We start from the raw sequence: 27030 nt of genomic DNA, 5'->3' as shown, positions 1-27030 counted from the left end.
GGAACTTGAACGTGTTCATAAACCTCAAAACATTAAGTTTTCAGGTCCTGGGATGCTCAATCGCAGGGTGATTTCTTCTGTTGATTTGGGTGTAAACTTTTTCTGCTTCTCCTTTCTCTTTCAGGCACACATTCATTTAGATGGCTTAATAGTTTACATATCTGTGGGCACTGAATTTTTGATGTAGAAATGGTAGCTACAGATACTGTATGTGCCTTCTGCTTTACCCCATTTGTGGTCACTAGAAGTTCCTAATCTTTCTGGAGCAGCTTGTCTCTGTCAAGCTGCCATTCATGTGTAGAGCTAATAGCAACCAGTTTTTTGATGTATCTCTTGGTGATTAGACAATAAGCTTTTTATTGTCTAAAAGCTAAAATAACATGGTCAGTTATTCTTCTTAAACATTTGACTCATTAGTATTATATATAGGTTCAGAGGGAAAATTGCATATCATTAAATAGTAATTTGCATTTAAATTTAGGCACTGACAGAAAAACGCTCTTCTGGTAATGTGTACTTTGAATTTTGGAATCCATGAACAACAACAACTTAAAAAAAGGCCATTTGTAATTTCTATTGTAACCTCTATTGAGAGTGTTCTGATTTCCTTGATTGTTAATACCTAATAGGGAGCTAAATTAGTGTAGGAACACCATGGGGGATAAGAACATACTTAGAAAAATTTGTTTTTGTTGCATTGTAATTTTATTGCAATCTGAGGTTCTTATAGCGTGAAATGAAAGTGGTCAGATACTCTACAGCATTCTTTGATGGGGATGGAAAGTGGGGGATGCGAAGCTGGGAGGTAGTGTTGATTTGTGATGGATGGGAGCAGAAAGTAATTGCTTTTGGGCACATACTTGTGAGGAAAAGAAATGATTTTAGTCCTTCTCAGCAGTCAAGAGGGTTGTTTTGCATTTTTCTGCAGTCTTGAAGAGAAAAAATCACCCAAGGCATTGGACACACAGTTTGAACACATAATTGGGCTTGGACTTCATTCCATTCACTAATTGGTCTAACTTACTAATTTAAGTTGGTATCAAATTTCTTTGTAAAATTATTCTGGATAATGAAAGACTCCTTAAAGAACATCTTGTATTTCAATGTTAGAAAGTTATAAGTAGATTCACTTTTTTGTCCATTTTCAAGTTATAGTTTTTACATTTATTTTTCTGACTTACATGATAGGACTTTTTTTCTCCCAACAAACATTAGTCGCTGTTAATTATTTTTCAATTAACTTGCCTGCCCCTAAATGTGGTAGCATGGCATACAGCATGTTCTGCTTCTGAGGTCTTGATATTGAATTGGTTTGTAAGAATACCTCAGAGATAGATTACTGCCGCTTGGTCATTCATTCAGAAAGCATTTATTGAGGGCCCATTCTGTCCTGGGCAATCTCACCACAGTCCTGTATTACAGAAAGACTTGTAAATAGGTAAAGTATGGTTGGTGGCTGAATAGAGATGTGGGAGTTGAAATATTTTAGAGGAATTACTCTTCTTGTTCATCTTTCTGTAAGTGGTCCAGGTCAGAGTACTGTTGTGTAATATTTATTTAATACTATCAACATATTAGTACCATGTAATAGATCAGATTTTATGACCTTAATGGACTCTAGTGTATCATTTTACCTTTTATTTATTATTTATTAGATCTTGCTATGTTGCCCAGGCTGATCTTGAACTCCTGGCCTCAAGCCATCCTCCCACCTCAGCTTCCTGAGTAGCTGGGAGAAGAGGCATGAGCCACTGTGCCTGACCGTTTTACCTTTTAAATGACTTTAGCTATTAACTAACTTGGGTTTAAATTTCAGTTATTTTTCTTTGGTTTCTTTTTCTTTGAAGGGTTCTGAATGCTTAGCCTTCACTAATGTTCTTTCATATAGTAGTTTTCAAACTTTTGAGGTTGTTTAACCTTATTGCAGTTTGTGTGTATGTATGTGTGTGTACACACACGCATGCCTGAGCTGTTGATATGGTGTTACAGCACCATAGTGATGTTTTCCTGGTGGCTCTTTTGAAGACTGTTCTACAAGATAGGGTTTATAGAGAAAGATGGGTATTCACTTAGCTATTAGAAACTAAATAGTCATGGTAGATACATGTTTTGTCATTTAGTCTAATTGAACGGTTCCATATGATTTTATGAGTTTTTGTTATCTTGAATAGTTGAGCAATTTGCATCATGTTTTTCAGAGCGAAGGCATTTATTTCAGTGCAGCTTGTTACTGTTGAGATGCCAATAGTTAACATCTGTTAATTGATTTTCTATATATTGTACTTTTTGGCCAGAGATTAGATAATTTATTAATATACAACATATTTTCTGTAATGTCCCCTTGCTTTTATCCAGAGACCCAGAGCATGTTATTTTAACCCCTCTCTTGTCCGCTTTGGGAAGTTCAAATTCAAGGTACCCCCGGTATATATGGTAAACCTATTAGGAACAGAAAACAGTTAAAACTTCCCAAGTGTGATCTAGTTTTTCATGTCTTGGTAAAGAAGAAATCCCAGGTGGGCTGTGCAAACAGTTCATAGAAAGGGGTTAAAAAAGATATTTAAAAAGTTTTAGGCTGGCATTACCTGAATTGGGGCAATGATTAGGGAGACATGATTAGAATTCTAAGGGGGAGTGAGAATGTAAAGGGGAGCACCATCTGTAATTAAATTGTTTTAAATTGTGGAATAATTTTAAATTTATAAAAAAGTTGCAAAGATAGTACAGAGTATTCCTGTATACCTTTCACCGGTGTCTCCTAATGTTAACTTCTTACATAACCATGGCACATACTGTCACATCTAAGAAATTAACATTGGTACAATACTATTACTAAACTATAGACTTTATTTGGATTTCACAAGTTTCTCCACTAATTTCCTTTTTCTATACCCAAACTGAATCTAGAATACCACATTCCAGTTAGATCATGTGTAATTTCTTTTTTTTTTTTTTTTTCTGAGGCGAAGGTCTCACTCTGTCGCCCAGGCTGGAGTGCAGTGGCGCCATCTCGGCTCACTGCAAGCTCCGCCTCCCGGGTTCACGCCATTCTCCCGCCTCAGCCTCCCAAGTAGCTGGGACTATAGGCGCCCGCCACCATACCCGTCTAATTTTTTTTTTTTTTTGAGACGAATCTCACTCTGTCGCCCAGGCTGGAGTGCAGTGGCGCGATCTCGGCTCACTGCAAGCTCCGCCTCCTGGGTTCACACCTTTCTCCTGCCTCAGCCTCCCAAGTAGCTGGGACTACAGGCGCCCACCACCACACCCAGCTAATTTTTTGTATTTTTAGTAGAGACGGGGTTTCACATGTTAGCCAGGAAGGTCTCGATCTCCTGACCTTGTGACCCACCTGCCTGGGCCTCCCAAAGTGCTGGGATTACAGGTGTGAGCCACTGTGCCCGGCCATTTTTTGTATTTTTAGTAGAGATGGGATTTCACCATTTTAGCCAGGGTGGTCTCGATCTCCTGACCTCGTAATCCGCCCACCTTGGCCTCCCAAAGTGCTGGGATTACCGGTGTGATCCACTGTGCCCGGCCTCTTTTTTTTTTAAAATGGAGTTTCGCTCTTGTCACCCAGGCTGGAGTGCAATGGCACCATTTTGGCTCACTGCCACTTCTGCCTCCTGGGTTCAAACTATTCTCCGGCCTCAGCCTCCCGAGTAGCTGGGATTACAGGCGCCTGCCACCACGCCTGGCTAATTTTTGTATTTTTAGTAGAGATGGGATTTCACCATGTTGGCCAGGCTGGTCTCGAAATTCTGACCTCAGGTGATCTGCCCGCCTCGGCCTCCCAAAGTGCTGGGATTATAGGCATGAGTCACTGTGCCCGACCAGATCGTGTATAATTTTGATAAATAAGTTGGTATTTCCAGTGAGTGCTTTTTCTGTGCTATGTATGTGGTCCAAGAATCCCCTCTGACGAGTGTTGAAGAGAGTCATTGACCCTGAGAATAAGTAATACTTCATAGGTAGTGTTTTGTATTCCTTGACCCCCAAAGCATTGTTAACTCTATGGAAGAGTTGACTTTGCTTCCAGGAGGGTGATGTGAACTTTCCTGAGAAGCTAAGAGCTGATCTTGATTAAGGTATCCATCCATACCCTCTATGCTCACCTCATAGATTTTACTACACGGAAGTATAACTACGTAATTATTTATTTGTCTGTCTTCTTTACTAAGCTTTTATGTTTCTAAAGTGTTGAGAATATTTTACTCATTCTGGAATCTTTAGGGTCCAACATATTGCTTGGCATGTGGTCGCTTCTTAATATGCATTTGAAGAAATTAATAGACCTTTCTTTGGTAAAACTGATTATTAGGTCAACAGAAATTTTGTTTTGAATAGGTAAGTGTTGAGTTTCTCCTTCAAATCCAGCTATCTTAGGGTGCCATTTCTGTGGCTAGTTGAGTTTTTCTTCTTGGAATCTTAACTACAAAATGCTCATTTAATTAACATTGTTTTTCCTTTCAATTATATAAATAATTTATTTTCCTTAAAAATAAGCACAGAATTGAAAGTAATGGATGGTAGTAGAGGCAGAGTTAGCTTTTAAGTATACGTGTGACCATTCCAGTTCCACCCGACTGGGCTGCAGATCTGGCTGTGTGCCTGCCACTTCAGGCGCAGTTAATGGAATAATAGCTTCCTAGACTTATTGAGGGAGACGGCTTGTCAGGTTCAAAGAATTACTTTTAAAATCTTCCTGTTATAGCCAAGATTCAGTGGTCCAAAGTCACCTAAGCATAAAAGCTGCCATGAGATGGGAACATGGGGGCCTGTCCTCTGTGGCTCAGGCATAGCAGAGTCAGTTTTGTATATAGAAAACACATCAAGATAGGAGGGAAGAGGAAACTGAAGCTAGTATTTTCTAGATTTAGGGTTAAGAATGGGACAGTGACATGGATGAGCCAGTTTTCTCTTTTGTTTTTCTCCCCATGAGGTTACAAAATGAGCAATGGTAAATTCTCACTTCTTGTTTTCCCTGTTATACTCAACATTAGCTTTGAATCCCTTTTTCCTGCTTTCTCTAAACTGTGCTGAGAATGAATGGCAAACAACTCCAGGGACAGCTGAATCTAAGCTATGCCTTTGTGTATACTATACAAAAAGAAATACGGGTCTGAAGAACTCTGGCTTGTTTTAGAGAGAATGGTGCAATAGAGAGAATCCAAACTGAATTAAGAAATGCAGAATTACTTTTGTCTTGGTTAGCTTAACCTTTATAAGCCTAAATTTTAATTTAACCAGTGAGTGATTATAGGACAACATTTTCCAGTCTCATCACAGGTTAGAGTGACTCAGTAAGGTGGGCATGATCTTATAAAAGACTCTCGTTAAAGCCAGAAGGGTAACTAGTTTATTGTCCCTGGCTTAACTTCAAGGTGCATGTTCTGGGTTGTGGAATTTAGTTGTTGTTTTAAGAACCAGTATCAGGGGTGCAGAGGTCTTATGTGGATTTGGAGAGAAGTGAGGGACTAAAACCTTGGCTAAACTTAAGCATTCCATTTACTAGATTGAAGAGAGGAAAAATCTGTTAAAATATTAAAATCTTTCCAAATTCAGAAATAGACTATAACTGGGGCCAGGCATGGTGGCTCACGCCTGTAATCCCAGCACTTAGGGAGGCTGAGGTGGGCGAATCACCTGAGGTCGGGAGTTCGAGACCAGCCTGACCAACATGGAGAAACCCCGTCTCTACTAAAAATACAAAATTAGCTGGGCGTGGTGACGCATGCCTATAATCCCAGCTACTTGGGAGGCCGAGGCAGGAGAATCGCTTGAACCTGGAAGGTGGAGGTTGCGGTGAGCCGAGATGGTGCCATTGCACTCCAGCCTGGGCAACAAGAGCGAAACTCCGTCTCAAAAAAAAAAAAACAACAGAAGACTGTAACTTAAATAGTGCATGGTAATGTGCAGCATTGAATTTGAAAGAAACAAGGGGAATAAAACTTAATGACTATGAGATAAATGGAATGCAGGAGTTTTAAAAAGTTCTTGTTAAAAAATTTGACGAGAGGATTTTCTCTTGTGAAACGTTTAGATAACCCTCTAGAAAAAAACCAGGAGAAAATCTTTGTGACCTTGAGCTAGGCAGAGTTTTAAAAAATAGAACACAAAAACCACAAACTATGAAGAAAAAATTTATGTTGGCTTTCATCAAAGTTAGAAACTTGTACTCTTTAAAAAGTGTATTTTCTGTTAAGAAAATGAAGAGGCAAGCCACAGAAAATATTTGCAAAATGTTTATCTAATAAAGGACTTATATTTATGTGAAAGGAAAATAAGTCTTGGGGCCCCCAAATCACTAAGCTAAAGGGAAAAGTAAAGCTGGGAACTGCTTAGGGCAAATCTGTGTCTCATTCTGTTCAGAGTCATCCCCTGCCTACCGAGATAGATGCATATCTGATTGCCTTCTTTGGAAGGGCTAATCAGAAACTCAAAATAATGCAACCATTTTTCTCACCTGGAAGCCCCCCTCCCTACTCCAAGTTGTCCCGCCTTTCTGGACTGAGCCAGTATACATCTTGATTGATGTCTCAAGTCTCCCTAAAATGTATAAAAGCAAGCTGTGCCCCAACCACCTTGGGCACATGTCGTCAGGACCTCATGAGGCCGTGTCCTGGGCGTATGTCTTCAACCTTGGCAAAATAAACTTTCTAAATTAACTGAGACCTGTCTCAGATATTCGGGGTTCACATTTAGAATGTATAAAGAACTCTTACAACTCAATAGTAAGAAGACAAACAGCTCGATTTTTAAAAAAGAAAAGATTTGAATAGATACTTCAAAGAAACTAATACAAATAACCAATAAACACATGAAAAAAATACTCAATATTGTTAGTCCTTAGGGAAATGCAAATTAAAATCACAGTGAGATACCACTTCACACCTATTAGAATGGGTAACATTAAGACAGTACCAAGTGTTGGTGGATATAGAGCAACCTGCCTCTTGTGCATTGCTGGTGGAAATGCAAAGTGGTCCAGCCGCTTTGGTAAACGGTTTGGCAGTTTCTTGTAAGTTAAGTAGATACTTACCATATGACCCAGCAATCCCATTCTTAGATATTTACCCAAGAGAAATGAAATCATGTGCCTACACAGACTTGTAGCTTAATGTTCATAGCAGCTTTATCTATGATACCACCAAACTGGATGTAACCCAAATGTCCTTCATCTGGTGAATGGATAAACAGATTGCAGTATGTCCATTTAATGGAGTACTACTCTGCAGGAAAAAGGAGTGAACTACCGAAATGTGTAACAACATGTATGAATCTAAGAACCATTATGCTAAGTGAAAAAATGCTACACACGAAGGACTACATTTTGCGTGTGATACAAATGTATTTCTATGTACCTTTTGAATGTATTCACCTGGATATCCTGTAGACACTCCAAACTTAACATGTTTAATTCTCTACTCATTATCTTTTGATATGGTTTGGCTGTGTCCCCACCCAAATCTCACCTTGAATTTTAGCTCCCATAATTCCCATTGTTGTGGGAGGGATCCAGTGGGAGATAATTGAATCATGGGGTGGTTTCCCTCATACTGTTCTCATGGTAGTGAATAAGTCTCACAATATCTGTTGATTTTATAAGGGATTTCCCCTTTCGCTTGGCTCTCATTGTCTCTTGCCTGCTGCCACGTAAGACATGCCTTTTGCCTTCTGACATGGTTGTGAGGCCTCCCAGCCATGTGGAACTGTGAGTCCATTCAACCTTTTTTCTTTAGAAGTTACCCAGTCTCTAGTATGTCTTTATCAGCAGTGTGAAAATGGACTAATAGAGTAAATTGGTACTGGGAGTGAGGCGGTGCTGTAAAGATACCTGAAAATATGGAAGTAACTTTGGAACTGGGTAACAGGCAGAGGTTAGAACAGTTTGGAGGGCTCAGAGGAAGACAGGAAAATGTGGGAAAGTTTGAAACTTCCTGGAGACTTGTTGAATGACTTTGAACAAAATGGTGATGATATGGACATTGAAATCCAGGCTGAGGTGGTCTCAGATGGAGATGAGGAATTTGTTGGGAACTGGAGCAAAGGTCACTCTTGTTATGCTTTAGCAAGGAGACTGGAATCATTTTGCTCCTGCCCTAGAAATCTGTGGAACTTTGAATTTGAGAGAGATGATCTGAAATTGGAACTTACATTTAAAAGGGAAGCAGAGCATAAAAGTTTGGAAAATTTGCAGCCTGACAGTGGCGATAGAAAAGAAAAACCCATTTTTTGAGGAGAAATTCAAACTGGCTACAGAAATTTGCATAAATAAAGAGGAGCCAAATCACCAAGACAATGGGGAAAATGTCTCCAGGGCATGTCAGAGGTTTTCATAGCAGCCACTCCCATCACAGACCTGGAGGCCTAGGAGGAAAAAATGGTTTTGAAGGCAGGGCCCAGGTCCCCCCTGCTGTGTGCAGTGTAGGGACTTGGTGCCCTGTGCCCCAGTTGCTCCAGCTGTGGCTGAAAGGAGCCAAGGTACAGCTTGGGCCATCGCTTCAGAAGGTGCAAGCCCCAAGCCTTGGCAGCTTACACGTGATGTTGAGCCTGTGGGTGCACAGAAGTCAAGAACTGAGGTTTGAGAACCTCTGCCTGGATTTCAGAGGATGTATGGAAACTCCTGAATGTTCAGGCAGAAGTCTGCTATGGGGTGGGGCCCTCATGGAGAACCTCTGCTAGGGCAATGTTGGGGGGAAATGTGGGGTTGAAGCTCCCACACAGAGTCCCCACTGGGGCACTGTCTAGTGGAGCTGTGAGAAGAGGGCCACCGTCCTCCAGACCCCAGAGTGGTAGATTCACTGACAGTTTGTACCATGTGCCTGGAAAAGCCTCAGGCACTCAGTGCTAGCCCACGAAAGCAGCTGGGGAGGAGGCTGTACCCTGCAAAGCCACAGGGATGGAGCTGCCCCAGACCATGGGAACCCACCTCTTGTGTCAGCGTGACCTGGATGTGAGACATGGAGTCAAAGGAGATCATTTTGGAGCTTTGAGATTTGACTGCCCTGCTGGATTTTGGACTTGCATGGGCCCTGCAGCCCCTTTGTTTTGGCCAATTTCTCCCATTTGGAACAGGTATATTTACCCATTGCCTGTACTCCCATTGTATCTAGAAAGTAACTAACTTGATTTTGATTTTACAGGGTCATAGGCAGAAGGGACTTGCCTTGTCTCAGATGATACTTTGGATTGTGAACTTTGAGTTAAGACTTTGGAGGACTGTTGGGAAGGCATGATTGGTTTTGAAATGTAAGGACATGAGATTTGGGAGGGGCCGGGGTGGAATGATATGGTTTGGCTGTGTCCCCATCCAAATCTCATCTTGAATTATAGTTCCCATAATTCTCATGTGTTATGGGAGGGATCCAGTGGGAGATAATTGAATCACGGAGGCAGTTTCCCACATACTGTTCTTGTGGTAGTGAATAAGTCTCACAAGATCTGATGATTTTATAAGGGATTTCTCTTTTCGCTTGGCTCTCATTCTCTCTTGCCTGCTGCCATGTAAGACATGCCTTTCACCTTCCACCGTGATTTGTGAGGCCTCCCCAGCCACATGGTACTGTGAGTCCATTAAACCTCTTTTTCTTTGTAAATTAACCAGTCTCTGATACGTCTTTAACAGCAGCATGAAATTGGACTAATATATCTTTTTTTTCATGTTTGCTTTGCCTCCTTAATTCTCCTTCATTTATCCAGGCTCCCAACCATAGAAAATTTGCCTTTTTCCTTGGCTTCTTCCTCTTGTTTATTCATTTGACCTCACAGATCATTGATCCTGTTGCTTCTGAGAGCATAAAGCAGGAGAGCAACCCATCCAGGGTTGGCTCCCAACTTGCACCCTAAGCCCTGGCCACCCTCAACCAATGTGACTAATGAGGGTCTATGTTGGACCCTGTCTATATTGTGGCCAGTGTATAGCTACTCCATTGGACCAGTAGCCCCTTATCTTGTGCTCATTAATGGGTCTGTCCCCCTTCAGAGTCTTTCACATTGTCCCCAGAGTTACTTCATTTAAAATGTGTGATCCTTTTTCTCTCTCGGTTAAAAAACATCTTTTTGTTGTTGTTGTTGCTTAAAGTCTAAAATGAAGTCATATTCCTTTAACATTCCTTTTTGTTTTGTTTTGTTTTGTTTTGAGAGGGACTCTCGCTCTGTCGCCCAGACTGGAGTGCAGTAGCATGATCTCAGCTTACTGCAACCTCTGCCTCCTGGGTTCAAGCAATTCTCCTGCCTCAGCTTCCCCAGTAGCTGGGAATACAGGCGTGTGCCACCATGCCCGGCTAATTTTTTTTGTATATTTAGTAGAGACAGGGTTTCACCATGTTAGCCAGAATGGTCTCGATCTCCTGAACTCGTGATCCACCTGCCTTGGCCTCCCAAAATGCTGGAATTACAGGTGTGAGCCACTGCGCCCGGCTAAAATTTCAAATTAAATATTTCTGAGCTTAATTCTTCCTATCCCAAGAATAATATCTTTTTCCCCCCTTCTGGAAGTTCTTTTTGATACATCAGTATTGCCAGTTAAGAGTAGAGAAAGAATATAAACTCTGGAATCACATTGCTTGACTCCTTCACTTATAAACTAGATGGCTATAGGCAAGTCATTTTAGCTTTCTGTGCTTCTGTTTCCTAATCTATAAAATATGGATAAAGTATGCTTTCCTCATATGGTTGATGTGAGAGTTAAATGAGATAATATAGATGTAGCACTTTATACAATGCCTGGCACATAGTAAGTTCTCAATAAAGGTTGATTCTTGTTATCATCATCCTTCAGAGAACACTGGAAAATCCATTATTTTGGATTGTTGCTGTAGTTTTTTCCACATGGAATCTCTCTGGAAAACCAGTGAGTCCTTCAGGTAGATTGAAGCCATCTTCCTCACTTGCTGTGGGTTGGGCTATTGTGGCCTGGCACAAACCACCCTCATAACCTGGCAACCCAGCAGCCTGGTCTGTGCATACAGCCTTGTCCCCCAAGGCACTCCATATCACCTGGGTGTAAAGTTTCAGTCTCAAGCAATTCTCCTTGTCCTTATTCTCCAAGTCTTGCTCCCCAAGAGCAGCGGATTCGTTTCTTTTCTCAGTGCATCTCCATTTTACATATGAGGCAACTGAAGAGAAATTTACAGCAAGTCCTCACTTGATGTTGATAGGTTCTTGGAAACTTCTCCTTCAAACAAAATGATGTATATTGATAACCAGTTTTACCATAGGCTAATTGATATAAACAAGAATTAAGTTCCTATGGCATATTTCTGGTCACAAAAATATCACCAAACTATTTTAAATAAAGACCAGAACATAATATACATATTAAAATAAATGAGAGCAGTATGTATAAGAAAGATTGATAAAAACAAGTTAGATAATTATAACATTTACCCAATTATTCCAGTCCACGGTTGAGGGTGGCCAGGGCTTAGGGTGCAAGTTGGGAACCAGCGCTGGATGGGACGCCATTCTATTGCAGGGCTCTCTCGCTTGTGTGCTGTCTCTCTCTCTCTCTCTTGCTCTTGCTCTCTCTCTCTCTCTCTCACACACACACACACACACACACACACACCCCTCACTGTCACTTAGACTGGGACACTTTAGACATGCCAGTTAACTTTGAAGTGCACATCTTTGGGATGTGGGAGGAAATCCAAGTATCCAGAGAAAACCCACACAGAGAATGTGTGAACTCCACACATTGGTGCCTGCCAGGAGTCCATTTTTTTACTCCTCAAAATCATAAGAAAACAGTGTTGAATGAAACTGATGTCGTTTGAGGACCTGCTGTAACTTGTTTAAGATCATTCAGTAGTAAGATTCATGCTCTTAACCACTACATGGTAGTCATCCTAGTTTAGCCCCAGGTGGTCTTTCTAAACACCTTGGTTTTTTTTGGAGACAGAGTCTTGCTCTTCACACGGTCTGAAGTGTAGTGGAGCAGTCAGGGCTCCCTGCAGCCTCACCCTCCTGGGCTCAAATGATCCTCCCACCTCAGCCTCCTGAGTAGCTGGGACCATAGGTGCATACCACCACACCCAGCTTTTTTTTTTTTTTTTTTTAGAGATGGGATCTCACTATGTTACCCAGATTGGTCTTGAACTCCTGGGCGCAAGCCATCCTCCCACCTCAGCCTCCCAAAGTGCTGGGATTACAGGTATGAACCACCATGCTCAGCCTGCTTACTCATTCTTAAGTAATCAGCTCTGTTGTCTCTGCTTTTCCACTTGCACATACAGTTACTTCTCCTTCCTCTGCCCTCCATACTTTGCTTATTCCTCTTTTATGGCACTTGCAACATTGCATTGTCCTTCTCCCATGGCGGACCAAGTTCATTGAGGTTAAGAAAGCACCCTGTCTTATTTATCCTTGTGACTTTAGCTTTTATCACGTAGCCCAGTATATAGCAAATGCTCAAGAAATGTGAAATGAATGAAGAATGAACGATGAAGAGGAACCTATAGATGTTGGTAGTCTGTGAATTATCGAGTGAATTAGACTGTAACCCCATTTCATGCCTCCCAGATTTGGGCATCAGGGCAGGCAAGAATGTTCTAGAAGCCAGAAGATAAATGACACGTGTTCCTGCAGCAAAAGATTTTAGGCAAAGAGAAAATAAATATAGATATCTAGGATGGGGAAACATAGCAGAAAAATAATATCATTTAAAATGTGAGTATATGGTATGAGTAAGGTAATGCACAGTAGATCAGAAGTTGAGTGAGGGTTTTGGCTCAAGTACCTCTAGTGGTAAAGGATATGTTAACTCCTTGGTGCCGGGAGCAGAGGCCCAAGCAGCCTTTCTGCTTCAAGTTCAGAATATCTATGAATATATTCAACATATCCATGTTTTATCTTTAGAAATTCATGCAAATATTACATTCTGTTTTATTATCTATGAGTTTGATTTAACATGAAATTTTTTTTTCTCCCCAGTCACTCATCCTCTAGTGAAACAGATGCTGTAGGAACATGGGTCATTTATCCTCTGGCTTCTAGCACATTCTAGCATGCCCCAGTGTCCAAATCTGGGAGTTATAGAATGAGGTACAGTCTAATACGGCAGCACAGTAGATTTCTGTGATTTGGGGGATTGCCTGCTCAAGAGTAGTATGTCATGGAACTGAGGAGAGTGAGTTCATCCTGCTGACTAATGAGGCTGTCCCTGGAAGGCTGCAGTCATTTGGAGGCACCTCATTACCAGATCGTTGGGGATCAGCTGGAGAGAGTTCACAGAAGACCCACAGGAATGATTAAGAGACTGGAGAGGCTGACTGATGAAGAAAGTATAAATGAAAACCATGTAACTTGGCTAAACCACAATAGCAGAAATAGACAACTGTATAAATATCTCAAGAGTATAAACTTGATGGAGGAGGGCAATCTTTTATGGTGGGATTTTGGGTTGGGGAGTATAAACTAAGAGTGGAATTAAGCCATAGTAAATGTAAACTGATAATCCAAAGTGTCTGATATATTCTTGGAACCTCCTTAGTTAGACCACCCTAACCTGTGCACTTTTTGAAAATTGAATAGTTTGTTTTTTTAAGTTCATGTCCCTGGACTCATGGCTGGTGCTTCTCTGTGGAGAATGCTGGAGATTGCATCTTACAAAACAAACGTCTTTCTTTTGTCTTGTCATTTGGTGGACATCAGTAGGTGATATCAGAACTTCTGTTTGCTGCCACTAGCTCTGTATGCACCAAAATTTTGAAATGGACTTTTACATCATGTTTTTCATGGCTGTGTGTGTGTGTGTGTGTGTATGTGTGACAGGATCTCTCTCTCTGTTACCCAGGCTAGAGTACAGTGGTGTGGTGTGATCACAGCTCACTGTAGCCTCAAACTTCTGGGCTTAGGAGATCCTCCTGCCTTAGCTTCTGAGTAGCTAGGACAACAGGGGCATGCTACCACGCCCAGCTAATTTATTTTATTTTATTATTTTATTTTATTTTTTGAGACGAAGTCTTGCTTTGTCACCCAGGATGGAGTGCAGTGGCGCAATCTTGGCTCACTACAACTTAAGCCTCCCAAGTTCAAGTGATTCTCCTGCCTCAGTCTCCTGAGTAGCTGGGATTACAGGTGTGTGCCACCATGCGTGGCTAATTTTCGTATTTTAGTAGTGATGGGGTTTTGCCATGTTGGCCAGGCTTTTCTCAAACCCCTGACCTCAGGTGATCTGCCCACTTTGGCCTCCCAAAGTGCTGGGATTACAGGCGTGAGCCACCATACCTGACCAATTTATTTTTATTTTTTTAGAGAGGGCCCAGTCTGGTTTCAACTCCTAGGCTCAAGTGATCTTCCCAGTTCAGCCTCCTAAAGTGTTGGGAATACAGGTGTGCACTACTGCACCTGGCCTTTCACAGCTTTTTAGAATAGCACTTTAGAAGTAGAGACTGAGTTAGTAGTATGTGTTATAGTAATTTTAGCAACCCGGATACAGTATTTGGTCCCCGAGATACTAGTTTTAGGAAATATTAGCCTTGATCAAATGCAAGCATGATTGTATGAAATACATACTTTGGAAAATGACTGTAAAATTCCTAATTGGGGTATGGGAAGAATAAAGCCATCAAGTCATAGTTGAAACTAGATGTGTTTGCATAACATTGCAAGTTTTGTAATTCTTTTCCTAAGAAGAGATGGTAGAACTGGAAGAAAATGATTTGTATGCTTTCTTTGATTTAGAAAAATGTATTTGTTTATATAAGGTAGTTGTGTAGCTTTAAGACTAAGACCTCTACACCTGGAATTGGTATACTTTTTCAATAAAGCATCAGATAGTAAAGTTTTGTGGGCCATATGTCTCTGCTGCAACTACTCAGCTCTGCCATTGTGCAAAAGCAGCCACAGATAATATGTAAATGAATGAACTTGGCTGTTTTCACAAAAACAGGCGGCTGTTAGGATTTGGCTTGCTGACTCTTAACTTGGATTCTCACTTCTGAAAGCATGGTCTAGGAGACCAGCAGCATCAGCATTACCTGTGAACCTGTTAGAGATACAGAATGTTGAGCCCCTTCTCATACTGATTGCTCTAGAGTCTAAACCATGTTTCTCAAACTTCAGCATACATAGGACTCACCTGGGGATCTTGTGAAAGTACAGACTCTGAGATAGCAGGGCTGAACACCATACTAGCCTTGGGGAGGCAATGTTATGACCTGGTCAGTGTTCCTTGGGGAGTCCGCAATCTATTAGGAGAGACTGCTATATAAACAAATAATTTCAATACAGACTAGTAAATGCTATAACGGAGGTATCTTCAGCAGAGGAGCACCACAAAGGAGGAAGTGGCTGATTCTATCTGGTGTGGGAAGAGTCCTCAGAGAGGCCTTGGAGCAGGACCAGAGAAGGGGGAGTGCTTGAGTTGAGTTTTGAAGCTCAGTAGAGGTACTGAAGCATTGCGGTGAGCATGGTAGCTCACGGTAGGGATAGTAAAGCTTATATTACAACTAGGAGTTATTTGATTTAATAATCAAATAGCTGATCACAGGGTTGGAAACCTGCTAACATCATAGTGAATAGAAATAAAAGTTCAGGCTGGGTGTGGTGGCTCATTCCTGTAATCCTGGCACTTTGGGAAGCTGAGGCGGGCGAATCACCTGTGGTCAGGAGTTCAAGACCAGCCTGGCCAACGTGGTGAAACCCTGCCTCTACCAAAAATACAAAAACTAGCTGGGCATAGTAGTACGCACCTGTAGTCCCAGCCACTAGGGAGGCTGAGGCAAGAGAATCGCTTGAACCCAGGAGGTGGAGGTTGTAGTGAGGCAGTGAGCCAAGATCATGCCAGTGCACTCCAGCCTGGGCAACAGAACAAGACTCTATCTCAAAAAAAAAAAAAAAAAGAAGGAAAGAAAAGTTCAGTATAATCTGTTATCTTAATTTCTTTATACCATTTTCTTTCTTTCTTTTTTTTTTTTTTTTTTTCCGAGACAGAGTCTCACTCTATCGCCCAGGCTGGAGTGCAGTGGCGCAATCTTGGCTCACGGCAAACTCCGCCTCCCGGGTTCACACCATTCTCCTGCCTCAGCGTCCCAAGTAGCTAGGACTACAGGCACCCGCCACCGTGCCTGGCTAATTTTTTGTATTTTTAGTAGAGACGGGATTTCACCGTGTTAGCCAGGATGGTCTTGATCTCCTGACCTCATGATCCGCCCGCTTCAGCCTCCCAAAGTGCTGGGATTACAGGCGTGAGCCACCGTGCCCAGCCTCTTTATACCATTTTCTTATTTGAAAAAAGGATAACTTGCCCATTCTCTCCCTTATTTAAGGAAAATCAGTCCCCACCAAAAATGTGTTCTCCAGAAATAGAAACTTTTTACATGTCCTTGCAACATTAAGAATTTGAAAAACACTAAAAGGTACAGGTAGAAAATAAAAATTATTTATAATTCCGTATACCAAGAGATGATCACTATTAATATTTTTATATTTTCCTTTCAGTCTTCTTTATGTAATGTTATGTTTCTAAATTTGGACTTGTGCTACATAAACAGTTTTGTTCCTACTTTTTTATTTAACATTTTATTTGTAAGCATTTCCCTATGTTGTTTATTCCTTAAAAGTGTCATTTAAAAATTCCTTATATAGTATTCTACATAGTGCTCTCTTATAGCTTACGTATATAGTCTGTTGTTTGTGGATCCTTTAAGCTGGTTCCAGTAGCCAGTTGACCCAGGTTTTGGCTCTTGTACTTGGCAAGTCTGTTGGCATTATTTATTTATTTATTTATTTATTTATTTTGAGACTGGGTCTGGCTCTGTTGCCCAGGGTGGAGTGCAGTGGCATGATCTCGGCTCACGTCAACGTCTGCCTCCTGGGCTCAAGCCAACCCCCACCTCAGCCTCCAAGTAACTGGGACCACAGGCGCCTGCCGCCATGTCTGGGTAATTTTTGTATTTTTTGTAGAGACGGGGTTTTGTTATGTCGCCCAGGCTGGTCTTGAACTCCTGGGCTCAAGTGATCCGCCTGCCTTGGCCTCCCAAAGTGCTGGGATTACAGGCGTGAACTACTGTGCCCGGTCATGTTGCTGTATTTTAAACTAAATACATATACTTATTTATTTTTAATGATAAAAGTTTGCCAACTTAATTTCATTTACTGGTCTTCACTCATTCTGTTCTTTTAGCATTTTGTGCTTTCTTCCTTGGTTTCCCATAGTGGAGAGGCAGTAGAGTAGTCATTAAAAGCAGGGATTCTGGGTCCAGGTTGTCTGAGTTTGACTCAGCTCTATTACTCACTGTGTGTTTTCTTGGAAAAGTACTTTAACCTTTCTGTGTCCCAGTTTCCTCATCTGTAAAATAGGGATAATTGTATCTGTGTTAAAATAGGGATAATTGTATCTGTGAGTTTATGTGTATGAAGCACTGAGAACAGTTCCTGCCATATGGTAAGACTGTCTCTTCATTTACTAATTAGTAGTCTCTTCTCATTTGTCTTATGGTGGCTGTTTGTGTATGCATTGCCATAAACCCCCTTTCTGCTACATTTTTGGTTCATGAATATCTTCGAGAGTTATAAACTGACTTTACTGGACTTTATTTAGTGACTTTATTTTGAAAGTTCACAGATTTTCCCCTGACTCGTAGTAGCAGATTTTACTGTTTTAAATATAAAATCAACTTTATTTAAGCATGTCTTGGAAATGCATATGTGGGCACGAAGGGAGCAGACTGCATAGGCTGATAGATTGGGCTTTAAAGCTCTTTGGAAGTTTCTCCTTTCCAGCTGAATATTGTCTCAATTCCTTACCATGGCATATAAGGCTGTCCGTAACCTGGTTCTGGCTGTGCGTTCATCTCACTTGTCTTTGTGGTTGCTCCAGACCCTGTGCTGCAACCCCATTATATTCAAACTGGGTATGTGGTTGTGCTGAAGGTTACTCTTTAAGTCTGTGGCCTAGTTTGCTTCTACTGAAGAATGGACTCACACCTGTAATCCCAGCACTTTGGGAGGCCAAGGCAGGAGGATTTCTTGAGCTTAGGAGTTCAAGACTAGCCTGAGCAACATGGCAAAACCCCGTCTCTACAAAAAACACAAATAAAAAATTAGCCAGGTGTGGTAGTGCACGCCTGTAGTCCCAGCTACTTGGGAGGCTGAGGCGGGAGGATCGCTTGAGCCCAGGAGGTCAAGGCTGCAGTGAGCTGTAATCATGCCACTGCACTCCAACCTGGGTGATGGAGAAAGACCCTGTCTCAAAAACAAAAACAAAAACAAAAAAACTGTGTCTAATTCTGAAGCTCAATGCTCTTAACCTCTATGCTGAATCATGAAAAAGAATAATGTCATAAGGATAGGGAAGTATTTGGGGACAGTGAACTGAAGGAAGCTCTGGCACTTCTCAGCCGGAGACATAGTTATAGACAGTGAGGCTGCCAGTTGACTTTTCTTATGGAGTTGGAGAGAGGCCTCAAGGAAACTGTGTGGAGTTTTAATTGAGAATGCTTGGTCAGAGTTTACCAATTTTTGGTTATTTTTAGTGTCCCAGGGTTTCCACTGCCTGTTCTACCTTCTCTTTGATTTTTTTCTGGGGAATCCTTTTCAGAAATAAAAACCTATTCCAACTAACCCTGTTTTCTTTTTTGGACAGGATCCTGGGGCGTCCTTTGGCAGTCGATTGCACCCTGCACTAGAGAGAAGTCCAGGAATGATATATTCTTGGGCTGTATTTCTCTACCCTGGAGTTCATCCAGTTCATCCCAGAAACACTGACCTGATTACTGTGACAAAGTCTGATGGATAGACCCTTTCTGTTGACCTTGTGGCGTTTTTCTTTCATGTGGAAGTTGGAAGACAAGGTGAAAGGGGCCAAAAGTTACCTGCTTTGGTGAATAGGAGTGCTCTACTTGGTTCTCAGAACATGGGCCCTCGTTTAAAGGTAAGGTAACAGACTGAGTTAAGCTTTAGTTATTGGGATGTACAACATGGATCCAGTGACCAATTCCTAAGCCTTTTCAGCAAGGGATAGCTGTTAAAGTATACAGTTGCAGTGAGAATTGACTTTGTCCCCAGCAGAGCAATTTTAAATATGAAGAAACCAGTTCTCCATTTTTGGGAAATGACTTTTTCACAACTGGTTTTCAATGTTGGGGCTAAAATTTAGTTGCTACTGTAATTAAAAATCTTTATACTCCGAAAAAGCAGAGGATTTTAGAATATGTATGTTAATCAACTTTCTAACAGTCCCTTGAGACAGATATTTTGAAGTATTTTTCCCCTTTGGTAGGTAATGTGAGCCAAAATGCTGTAGTATTAAGCAACCAGACCAGGATCCTTCGTAAGCAAGTGATATTTCTGCACTAGAGAATTGGCATTGCATTCCACTTTTCTTTGACATGCTTTATTTATATATCAAAAGATTAAAAAAGAGCCATAAGAGTTTATCTTTCTAATTTTAGCCTTGCTATGAGATTCCTCACAGTAAGATTGGATAGTGTTTTCTCATACTTTGTTTTACCTGTTTTCATAAATCTTTTTTTCCCCAAATACTTCACTATCCTTATGACTTTATTCTTTTTCATGATTCACTGTAGAGGTTAAGAGCATTGAGCTTCGGAGTTAGACGTAGGCTTTTTTTTTTTTTTTTTTTTTTTTAAATGGAGACAGGGTCTTTCTCTGTCAACCAGGCTGGAGTGCAGTAGCACAATCATGGCTCACTGCAGCCTTGACCTCCTAGGCTCAAGCAGTCTTCCCGCCTCAGCCTCCCAAGTAACTGGGACTGCAGGCGTGCACTATGACATCCTAATTTTTTCTTTGTATTTTTTGTAGAGACAGGGTTTTGCCATGTTGCTCAGGCTGGTCCCAAGCTCTTGAGCTCAAGTGATCCTCCTGCCTTGGCTTCCAAAGTGCTGGGATTACAGGTATGAGCCGCCATGCCCTGCTAGGCTTTCCCAGCCCGGCTTGAATCTCAACTCTGTCACTTACCCCAATGTGAGATGTTCAGCAACCTTAAGCCCAGCTTAAAAAAAAAAAATCCATAAAACGAGAATAATAGTATTCATCTTACCAAGTTGTCGTGGTGACAGTTACTTAGGTTAACATATGTAAAGCACTGAAGGCAGTGTTTGGCCTGTGATAAGTGACTCAATAAGTGGGTAGAAAGCTGTTAATTTACTACTGTCATATTTTTCTTCTAGCTTAAAGTATCACAATATGCCATATTTATAAAGGTCAAGGACACTAAAGAGATGAACTTGAAAACACACAAAGTACTCATAACAATTTGATGAAATAGTACAGTAGAGCCTCACATACTTGTTTGTACTGCAATTAGACTTGGGAAAGTTCCAAAATAATTTCATACAGGAAAATTATGAATAGCAAAAAGTAGAGCATGCTGTAGAAACTGCTGTAGAAAAATACCATGCATGGGAATCTGCAACCCCAGTGGTGGGCATTTGATACCTGCTTGTTGAACTGAATTAAATTGGCAACTTTTAGGTTGAGGAACTTACAACGCCTGGCTCAAGTGAATATACTGTTAGAGAAATCCTTTCAAACTCTATCTACAAGGAAGATCCCATCTGGAAAATTCCTGATCCTTAGGCATTCTGGACAAAGAAAAGGACAGACATTTGATCTTATTCATATTTATTGAAGTTACTATATGCAATTATGTTGGTTTCTTTGGAGCTTTTTTTTTTTTTTTTTTTTTGGAGACAGGGTCTTGCTCTGTTGTGCAGTTGGAGTGCAGTGCAGTGGTGCCATCAGGGCTCACTGCAGCCTTAACCTCCTGGGCTCAAGGGATCCTTCTGCCTCAGATGCCCTCCTTGCCTCCAGTAGCTTGGATATAGGTGTGTGCCAGCACGCCCAGCTAATTTGTTTTCAAGTTTTAGTAGAGGTGAGGTCCCACTATATTGCCCAGACTGGTCTCAAACTCCTGAGCTCAAGTGATCTTCCCACCTCAGCCTCCCAAAGTGTTGGGGTTACAGACATGAGCCACCATGCCCAGCCTGGAGGATTTTTAAGACTACTCATTACCACTCTAAAATGAAAAAACGAGACTAAAAGAATAAAAGTGCTAGGCCGGGCATGGTGGCTCACACCTGTAATCCCAGCACTTTGGGAGGCTGAGGCAGGCGGATCACCTCAGGTTGGGAGTTTGAGATCAGCCTGACCAACATGGAGAAACCCCGTCTCTACTAAAAATACAAAATTAGCCAGGCGTGGTGGTGCATGCCTGTAATCCCAGCTACTCGGGAGGCTGAGGCAGGAGAATCGCTTGAACCCAGAGGTAGAGGTTGCGGTGAGCTGAGATCACGCCATTGCACTCCAGCCTGGGCAACAAGAGTGAAACTCCGTCCCAAAAAAAAAAAAAAAAAAAAAAGAAAAGTGCTATAAGATAAATAAAAACAATGTTCTATGGAGATTCACATGAGGGAAGGAATTTCTAAATTTAATATTAGGGAAGATTTTGGAGAGAGTGGATAGGATTTTTCCTAGACCTCAGGATCAGGAGATTTTCCATGCATAGAGAATAAAAGGAAGGAGGATATTCTAGGCAGAGGAGATGAGTTTTCAAAAGGAATGGAGAGGGGACATTTCAGAGCTGTATGTAAAAGTGTAAAGGATCTAATTTGGATAGATCATAGGATGAATAACAAGGTATTATAGCAACTGGGGCCAAGGAGAATAGCGTGGGGTAGGGGTAGCAGTAGATACAGGACAGAGAGAGCCCCCAACAGGGTCGGAACATGCTTACAGAAAATGCTTACAGAACAGAGGTAAGATCTGGAATAAAAGCGATTTGAGTGACAAAAATAGGGAGGCCTGGCTGGGCGTGGTGGCTCACGCTTGTAATCCCAGCACTTTGGGAAGCCAAGGCAGGTGGTTCACTTGAGGTCAGGAGTTCAAGAGCAGCCTGGCTGACATGGTGAAACCCTGTCTCTACTAAAAAAAAAAAAAAATACAAAAAATTAGCCTGGCGTGGTGGTGGGCACCTGTAATCCCAGCTACTCGGGAGGCTGAGGCAGGAGAATTGCTTGAACCTGGGAGGTGGAGGTTGCAGAGAGCCAAGATTATGCCACTGCACTCCATCCTAGGCAACAGAGCAAGACTCTGTCTCAAAAAAAATAAAAATAAAAATAAAAATAAAATAGAAGGGCTTTTGAGAGAATTCAGGAGGAACCAGAAAGGGGGAATTTGTAGAACGAAGGCAAATTCAGAATGTGACCATGGGTGAAACTGGGAGGTCAGTAAATACTATGGGGGTGGGGAGTGGTTTGAGAGCTGTTGTAGAGCAGTGGGACATTTTGTAAAGTTGATGTCAGCGAATGATGAATTGATAGAACTAACTCTCTGGTCATGAGGAGGTTTCAAGAAGACAGTTGTTTGGGGAAAAAGTAGTAATTGGTCTGTTGAGTTTTAAATGATGAATAGAGGTGGGGCAGAAATGTAGAACTGACTCATTGGAGAAGGTTTAGCTGATCTTGAAAATCAGTAGTGATGATTTGATTGAGAAATAAGTGACAGGGGAAAAATGGCCGAGGACTCCACAAGGTAAAGCTCATTACTGCCAGCTTCATGATAACTGGACTGTGGCTCTCATGTTCTAATTTGTCCTCCCTGTACCTGGCACATTGAGTAAGTACTCAGGGCCGGGCGTGGTGGCTCACGCCTGTAATCCCAGCACTTTGGGAGGCTGAGGCGGGTGGATCACGAGGTCATGAGATCGAGACCATCCTGGCTAACACAGTGAAACCTCGTCTCTACCAAAAATACAAAAAATTAGCTGGGCATGGTGGCAGGCACCTGTAATGCCAGCTACTCGGGAGGCTGAGGCAGGAGAATGGCGCGAACCCGGGAGGCAGAGCTTTCAGTGAGCCGAGATCACACCACTGCACTCCAGCCTGGGTGACAGTGTGAGACTCCGTCAAAAAAAAAAAAAAAAAAAAAAAAAAGTAAGTACTCAGTATTTGTTGGACGAATTATTTTAGGATGAGTTTTTAACCCTTTATTGTAAAATTTTTTAGGCATAAAATTAGAATAGTATAAAGAACTCCCATGCAGACTGTTCAGGGACAGTAATAGAAGCCATGCCTTTTGAAATTCAGATGCATTTCTCTTTGAAGAAAGTGTGGGCCAGTAGAGAGGAGTTTCCTATCAGCTTTGAAGTAAAGGAGTAGTGATACTGGCGCTACTATTGATAATAATTGTAATAATCATTAAAACTTTGAGAACTCACTGTGTGCCAGGCACTACTGTAGGCTGCTTACATGTGTTAACTCATTTAATCCTCACAGCACCCCGTGAGGTACATATAAGGAAACTGGCACTCCTTTACAAAGATTAAATGACTTGTCCAGGGTCACATTATGAATGATGGGGCATGGATTTGAAGCCAGGTAATCTAACTCTAGAGTCTGCCCCCTTATCCTCTATCTTATGCTATTTGTTATGCTGTTTGGCTAGAGCTTTGATGGCCATGGGGAGTTGCATTGAAGTCATATCATACTAAAGGAGATGATACCATAGAAATTATTAAATTGCAACTCTTTTTACAGCAATGAGATTCTGAAGCCTAGATAGGTCACACAGTTTGCAGTCCTGGGATTGTTCTCCAGGCTTTTCAATTACTGCATGTCAGCTGTCTCTCACAGAAGGGTTGTTGTAGTTGTCAGAGATAGTAGGTGGGAATTTTTCTAGCCCTCATGACTCAAGCCATACATTTGGCACTGCTTTTATTCCTCTAAGAAGACCACAAATCTGTAACACCAGCCACATATACTTCATTTCTTTGCTGAGTGCTGTAACTTCCCTGAGGACCAGAAATTTCACATCTAGGGTCAGATCGAATGGCATCCCGCTGAGGAAGTACCTAAGGCAGTTAAACTGCCAGTTTTGGTCCCACCAAGTCATCTAGTGCATCCTGTAAGATGCAGACAGATGCTTTTTGAGAGATCGTAGCAGATTTTTGAGATGATAGCTGTTGGGTCCCCAGCTAATTCAGCATAGGGTCCCAAGAGATGAGATACTTGTTTGGGAAGGAGGTTCAGTAGTTGTGATCCCAAATTTTGGCTCTTTATATTGTCTGTAATAGACCCTTTTGGGAGCACCTTCATCCACGTGACAATTCTAATGTTCCCAGTGTGGATTTCTTTTCTAGTAGGACTTTAGATAATCACTCTAAGTAGGATTTGTATGAAACTTTTGACGGTCATTCCTCAAATTACCTACTCTCTGTGGGTTCCACTGGGTATATTGTTATCAGAGGAACTAAGCAAGCACAATCAGATGTAAAAACACACCCTGAAAAAAAGTTGTTTTGGTCCCTCCCAGATCTGAGCCTAGAAATTTTTAGCTGTCTTGTCTCTACGTAATATTCTAGTGCTGATAAAAGGTGTTGGGTCAAGATAACATTGACAGCCTTAGTGTACGCTGACTTGAAAAGAAAGAGTGCATTCATGCATTGTAAAATAGCATATACAGCCTGTGCTAAGGTCAGACTCAGTGATAAGATATGAACGTTAGCATACATTGCATTTTTCCTTGGCAGTACTTTTATTGGTTCACATGATCAAATGAGTAATTAAGATTGAAGTCTTATTCTGGAAACAAGTTTAACAACAGTGAAAGTCTTCCCTCAGACTCCTACCTTGACAGGCATGACTGAGGATGAGAAGTACAGTCTCCTTTTGTTCCTCTCCTTGGTCTTTCTGCTGAGCTCATCTTCCAGAGGGCCCATTAGTTTGTCTGATTGGTAACAGCATAAATGACTTCACTTTCAGACCCACTGCTTATTATTGGGATGACCCAGAGTTCATTTTAATTACATAATGCCAACATGATGATAATGATACTTGCTTTAAAAAAAAAAAATCTACATTTTATATAGCTATTTCTACTTAGCTGAATTACTCCCAAAAGGCAAACATAAGGGGAAAGTGACTCCATTACCCTCTTTGCATGTGTTAATTAGCACCACTTTGCATGAGGGAGGGAAACTGTCTTGGGAACTATGGATCTAAGAAGATGAAAGCCATGTTACTGCATTTTGAAATTAGCAATAAAGCAAGTGGCTGTTTGTGGTATTCCTAGAGTGGTCAGTAGATTGGAAGTCTTTAAGGGGAATGATGCAGTCTCTTTGTTTCTCTGAAATATATTATACGGCACCTGTCAAGCTAGAAAGAGGATAGGAATAGTAAGGCTCTGGACTAGAGAGAGTTGTTTGGCTCACGCCATACACTCTTCTTTGTCTTACTCTGAGATAGCTATGAGGCAGAGTTGGAGACAAAAACTAAACAAGTTTTCTTTTAACAGCTGCAGCTGTGATCCTCGGCTGTCTGTTGGCATTGACGGGACCTGATGTTTTACGTTATTGGTACGTTATGGAAAGAGCTCTCTCTATTATATTTTTGTAAAGGTTGCTTGGGTCCTTTTTGCCTTTCTGCCTATTCTTTTCCCTTTGAAAATGGAGCTGAAAATATTTCTAGTCGTGCCAGAATGTACCTTCACAGAGTTGGCATTGGAATTCATTCATTTGGGTTTATTGAGCAATTATAGTCAATGCCAGACACTGTTTACTGTGGAGTCTAAAGTTGAATAAGACAAAAATCTGCCTTCAAGGAGTAGGCATTCATAACATAAAGGGGAACGGTCAAGGAGGAGAAAAGTTATACCAGATGAATGTGTAGGAGTTTGAAGGAGCCCAGAAAAGGGAACTGCTAACTCTGGTGGGGATTGGAGAAGACTTTTGCCAAGTACACAAGGGAGGGGAGGGCTCCCAAATAATGCATTCTTTAAGAAGGAAATGGTGGGAACCAAAGGCACATCCTTTTGACTGCTTCTGTGGGGTGCCCAGCAAGTGCAGGAAGGTAGGGAGCAGGGCGGACATTATATGCAGCTCATATAGAGCAAGAGTTTGCAAACTTTTTCTATAAAAGGCCAGAGAGTAAATATTTTTGGTTCCGAAGGCTCATTTCAATGACTCAACTCTGCCAGTGTAGTGCAAAAGTAGCCATAGACAATTTATAAATGATGGGTGTGGCTGTATCCCAATGGAACTTTATTTACCAAAATAGGCAGTGGGTGGGCTTTGGCCTGAGGACTGTAGTTACTGACCCCTGGTGTAGAAGTTCCTTTCTTATCTACAGAGGTAGTGCCCAGTGCAGTGTTTCTTTGGCAGTCTTACAGTCTCATCCTGACCTCCTTTAATTTTTGAGAAATGGCTGGCCTGTTGCATAATGAAAAGCTGTAATGTGTAACTGGCAGGCGGTTTGTGTGTTCTCTCTTTTGCATAGGTGGAATCACAGTGTCTGTGGTTGCATTCTTCTTCACAATTAAGTTCCTCTTTGAGCTTGCCGCACGTGTAGTCAGCTTCCTCCAGAATGAGGACCGCGAGCGCCGAGGGGACCGGACTATTTATGACTACGTGCGGGGAAATTACCTGGATCCCCGGTCTTGCAAAGTCTCCTGGGATTGGAAGGACCCCTATGAGGTGGGCCACAGCATGGCCTTCCGAGTGCATGTAAGGGAATGTTTCTGTCTCCATACCCATTGGGGTTTCTGAGTAACTTGCTTTCCAGAGCCCAGGTGCTGGCCTGGAATGTTAACATTTTCTCTTGTTTTTCAACTCCCTCCAGGAACTAGTGAATTGCTACTATCTGAAGAGTCACAAATTTCTCTGTCATTTTGATTTAATAGGTCCTTAGCTTTGAAGAAGTATAAAGCTTAATGTTACCTTTTCAAAATAAGAAAAATATTACAGAAAAGAGTAAGTATTATAGATAGGGGTTAGCAAATCAGGCCCACCTTCTGTTTCTTTAAATACATTTGTCTTGGAACACAGCCACACCCATTCATCATGTATTGACTATGGCTGTTTTCACACCTGAGTAGTTATGACAGTTGAGTAGTTGTGTACGGTCCACAAAGCCAAAATATTTACTCTCTGGCACTTTACAGAAAAAATTTCCCAACTCCTGCATTGACTTCTCCACTGTAGCATTAAGCTTGGCTTGAGAGTCTGAACCCCTCCTACCTTTGTCTGGTAACGCTTTAGTTCACTCATTGCCAGTGCTGCCGGCTAACTTA

General features: G+C 41.6%; 1 protein-coding gene across 9 annotated transcripts in view; it reads left to right on the top strand.

Annotated features, from left to right (window-relative positions):
- Positions 1-27030, top strand: part of AREL1 (apoptosis resistant E3 ubiquitin protein ligase 1) — a 51825-nt gene that overhangs the window by 2163 nt on the left and 22632 nt on the right. For 3 of the 9 annotated variants that reach the window (NM_001437431.1, NM_001039479.2, XM_047432020.1), the window contains exons 2-4: positions 18590-18877; positions 25258-25318; positions 26238-26464. In NM_001437431.1, coding sequence (NP_001424360.1) covers positions 25303-25318; positions 26238-26464 — 243 coding nt within the window. In that variant the 5' untranslated portion in view covers positions 18590-18877; positions 25258-25302. Of the gene's footprint in view, positions 1-12061; positions 12155-18589; positions 18878-25257; positions 25319-26237; positions 26465-27030 lie in introns of all 9 variants that reach the window. The other 6 variants (XM_047432018.1, XM_011537415.3, XM_047432019.1 and 3 more) reach the window with 4 other exon arrangements.

This window comes from Homo sapiens, chromosome 14 (genome assembly GCF_000001405.40).
Source record: "Homo sapiens chromosome 14, GRCh38.p14 Primary Assembly".
Classification (NCBI taxonomy): Eukaryota; Metazoa; Chordata; class Mammalia; order Primates; family Hominidae; genus Homo; species Homo sapiens.
Note: the sequence above shows the minus strand (reverse complement) of the source record. Positions and strands in the feature narration are given on the sequence as shown.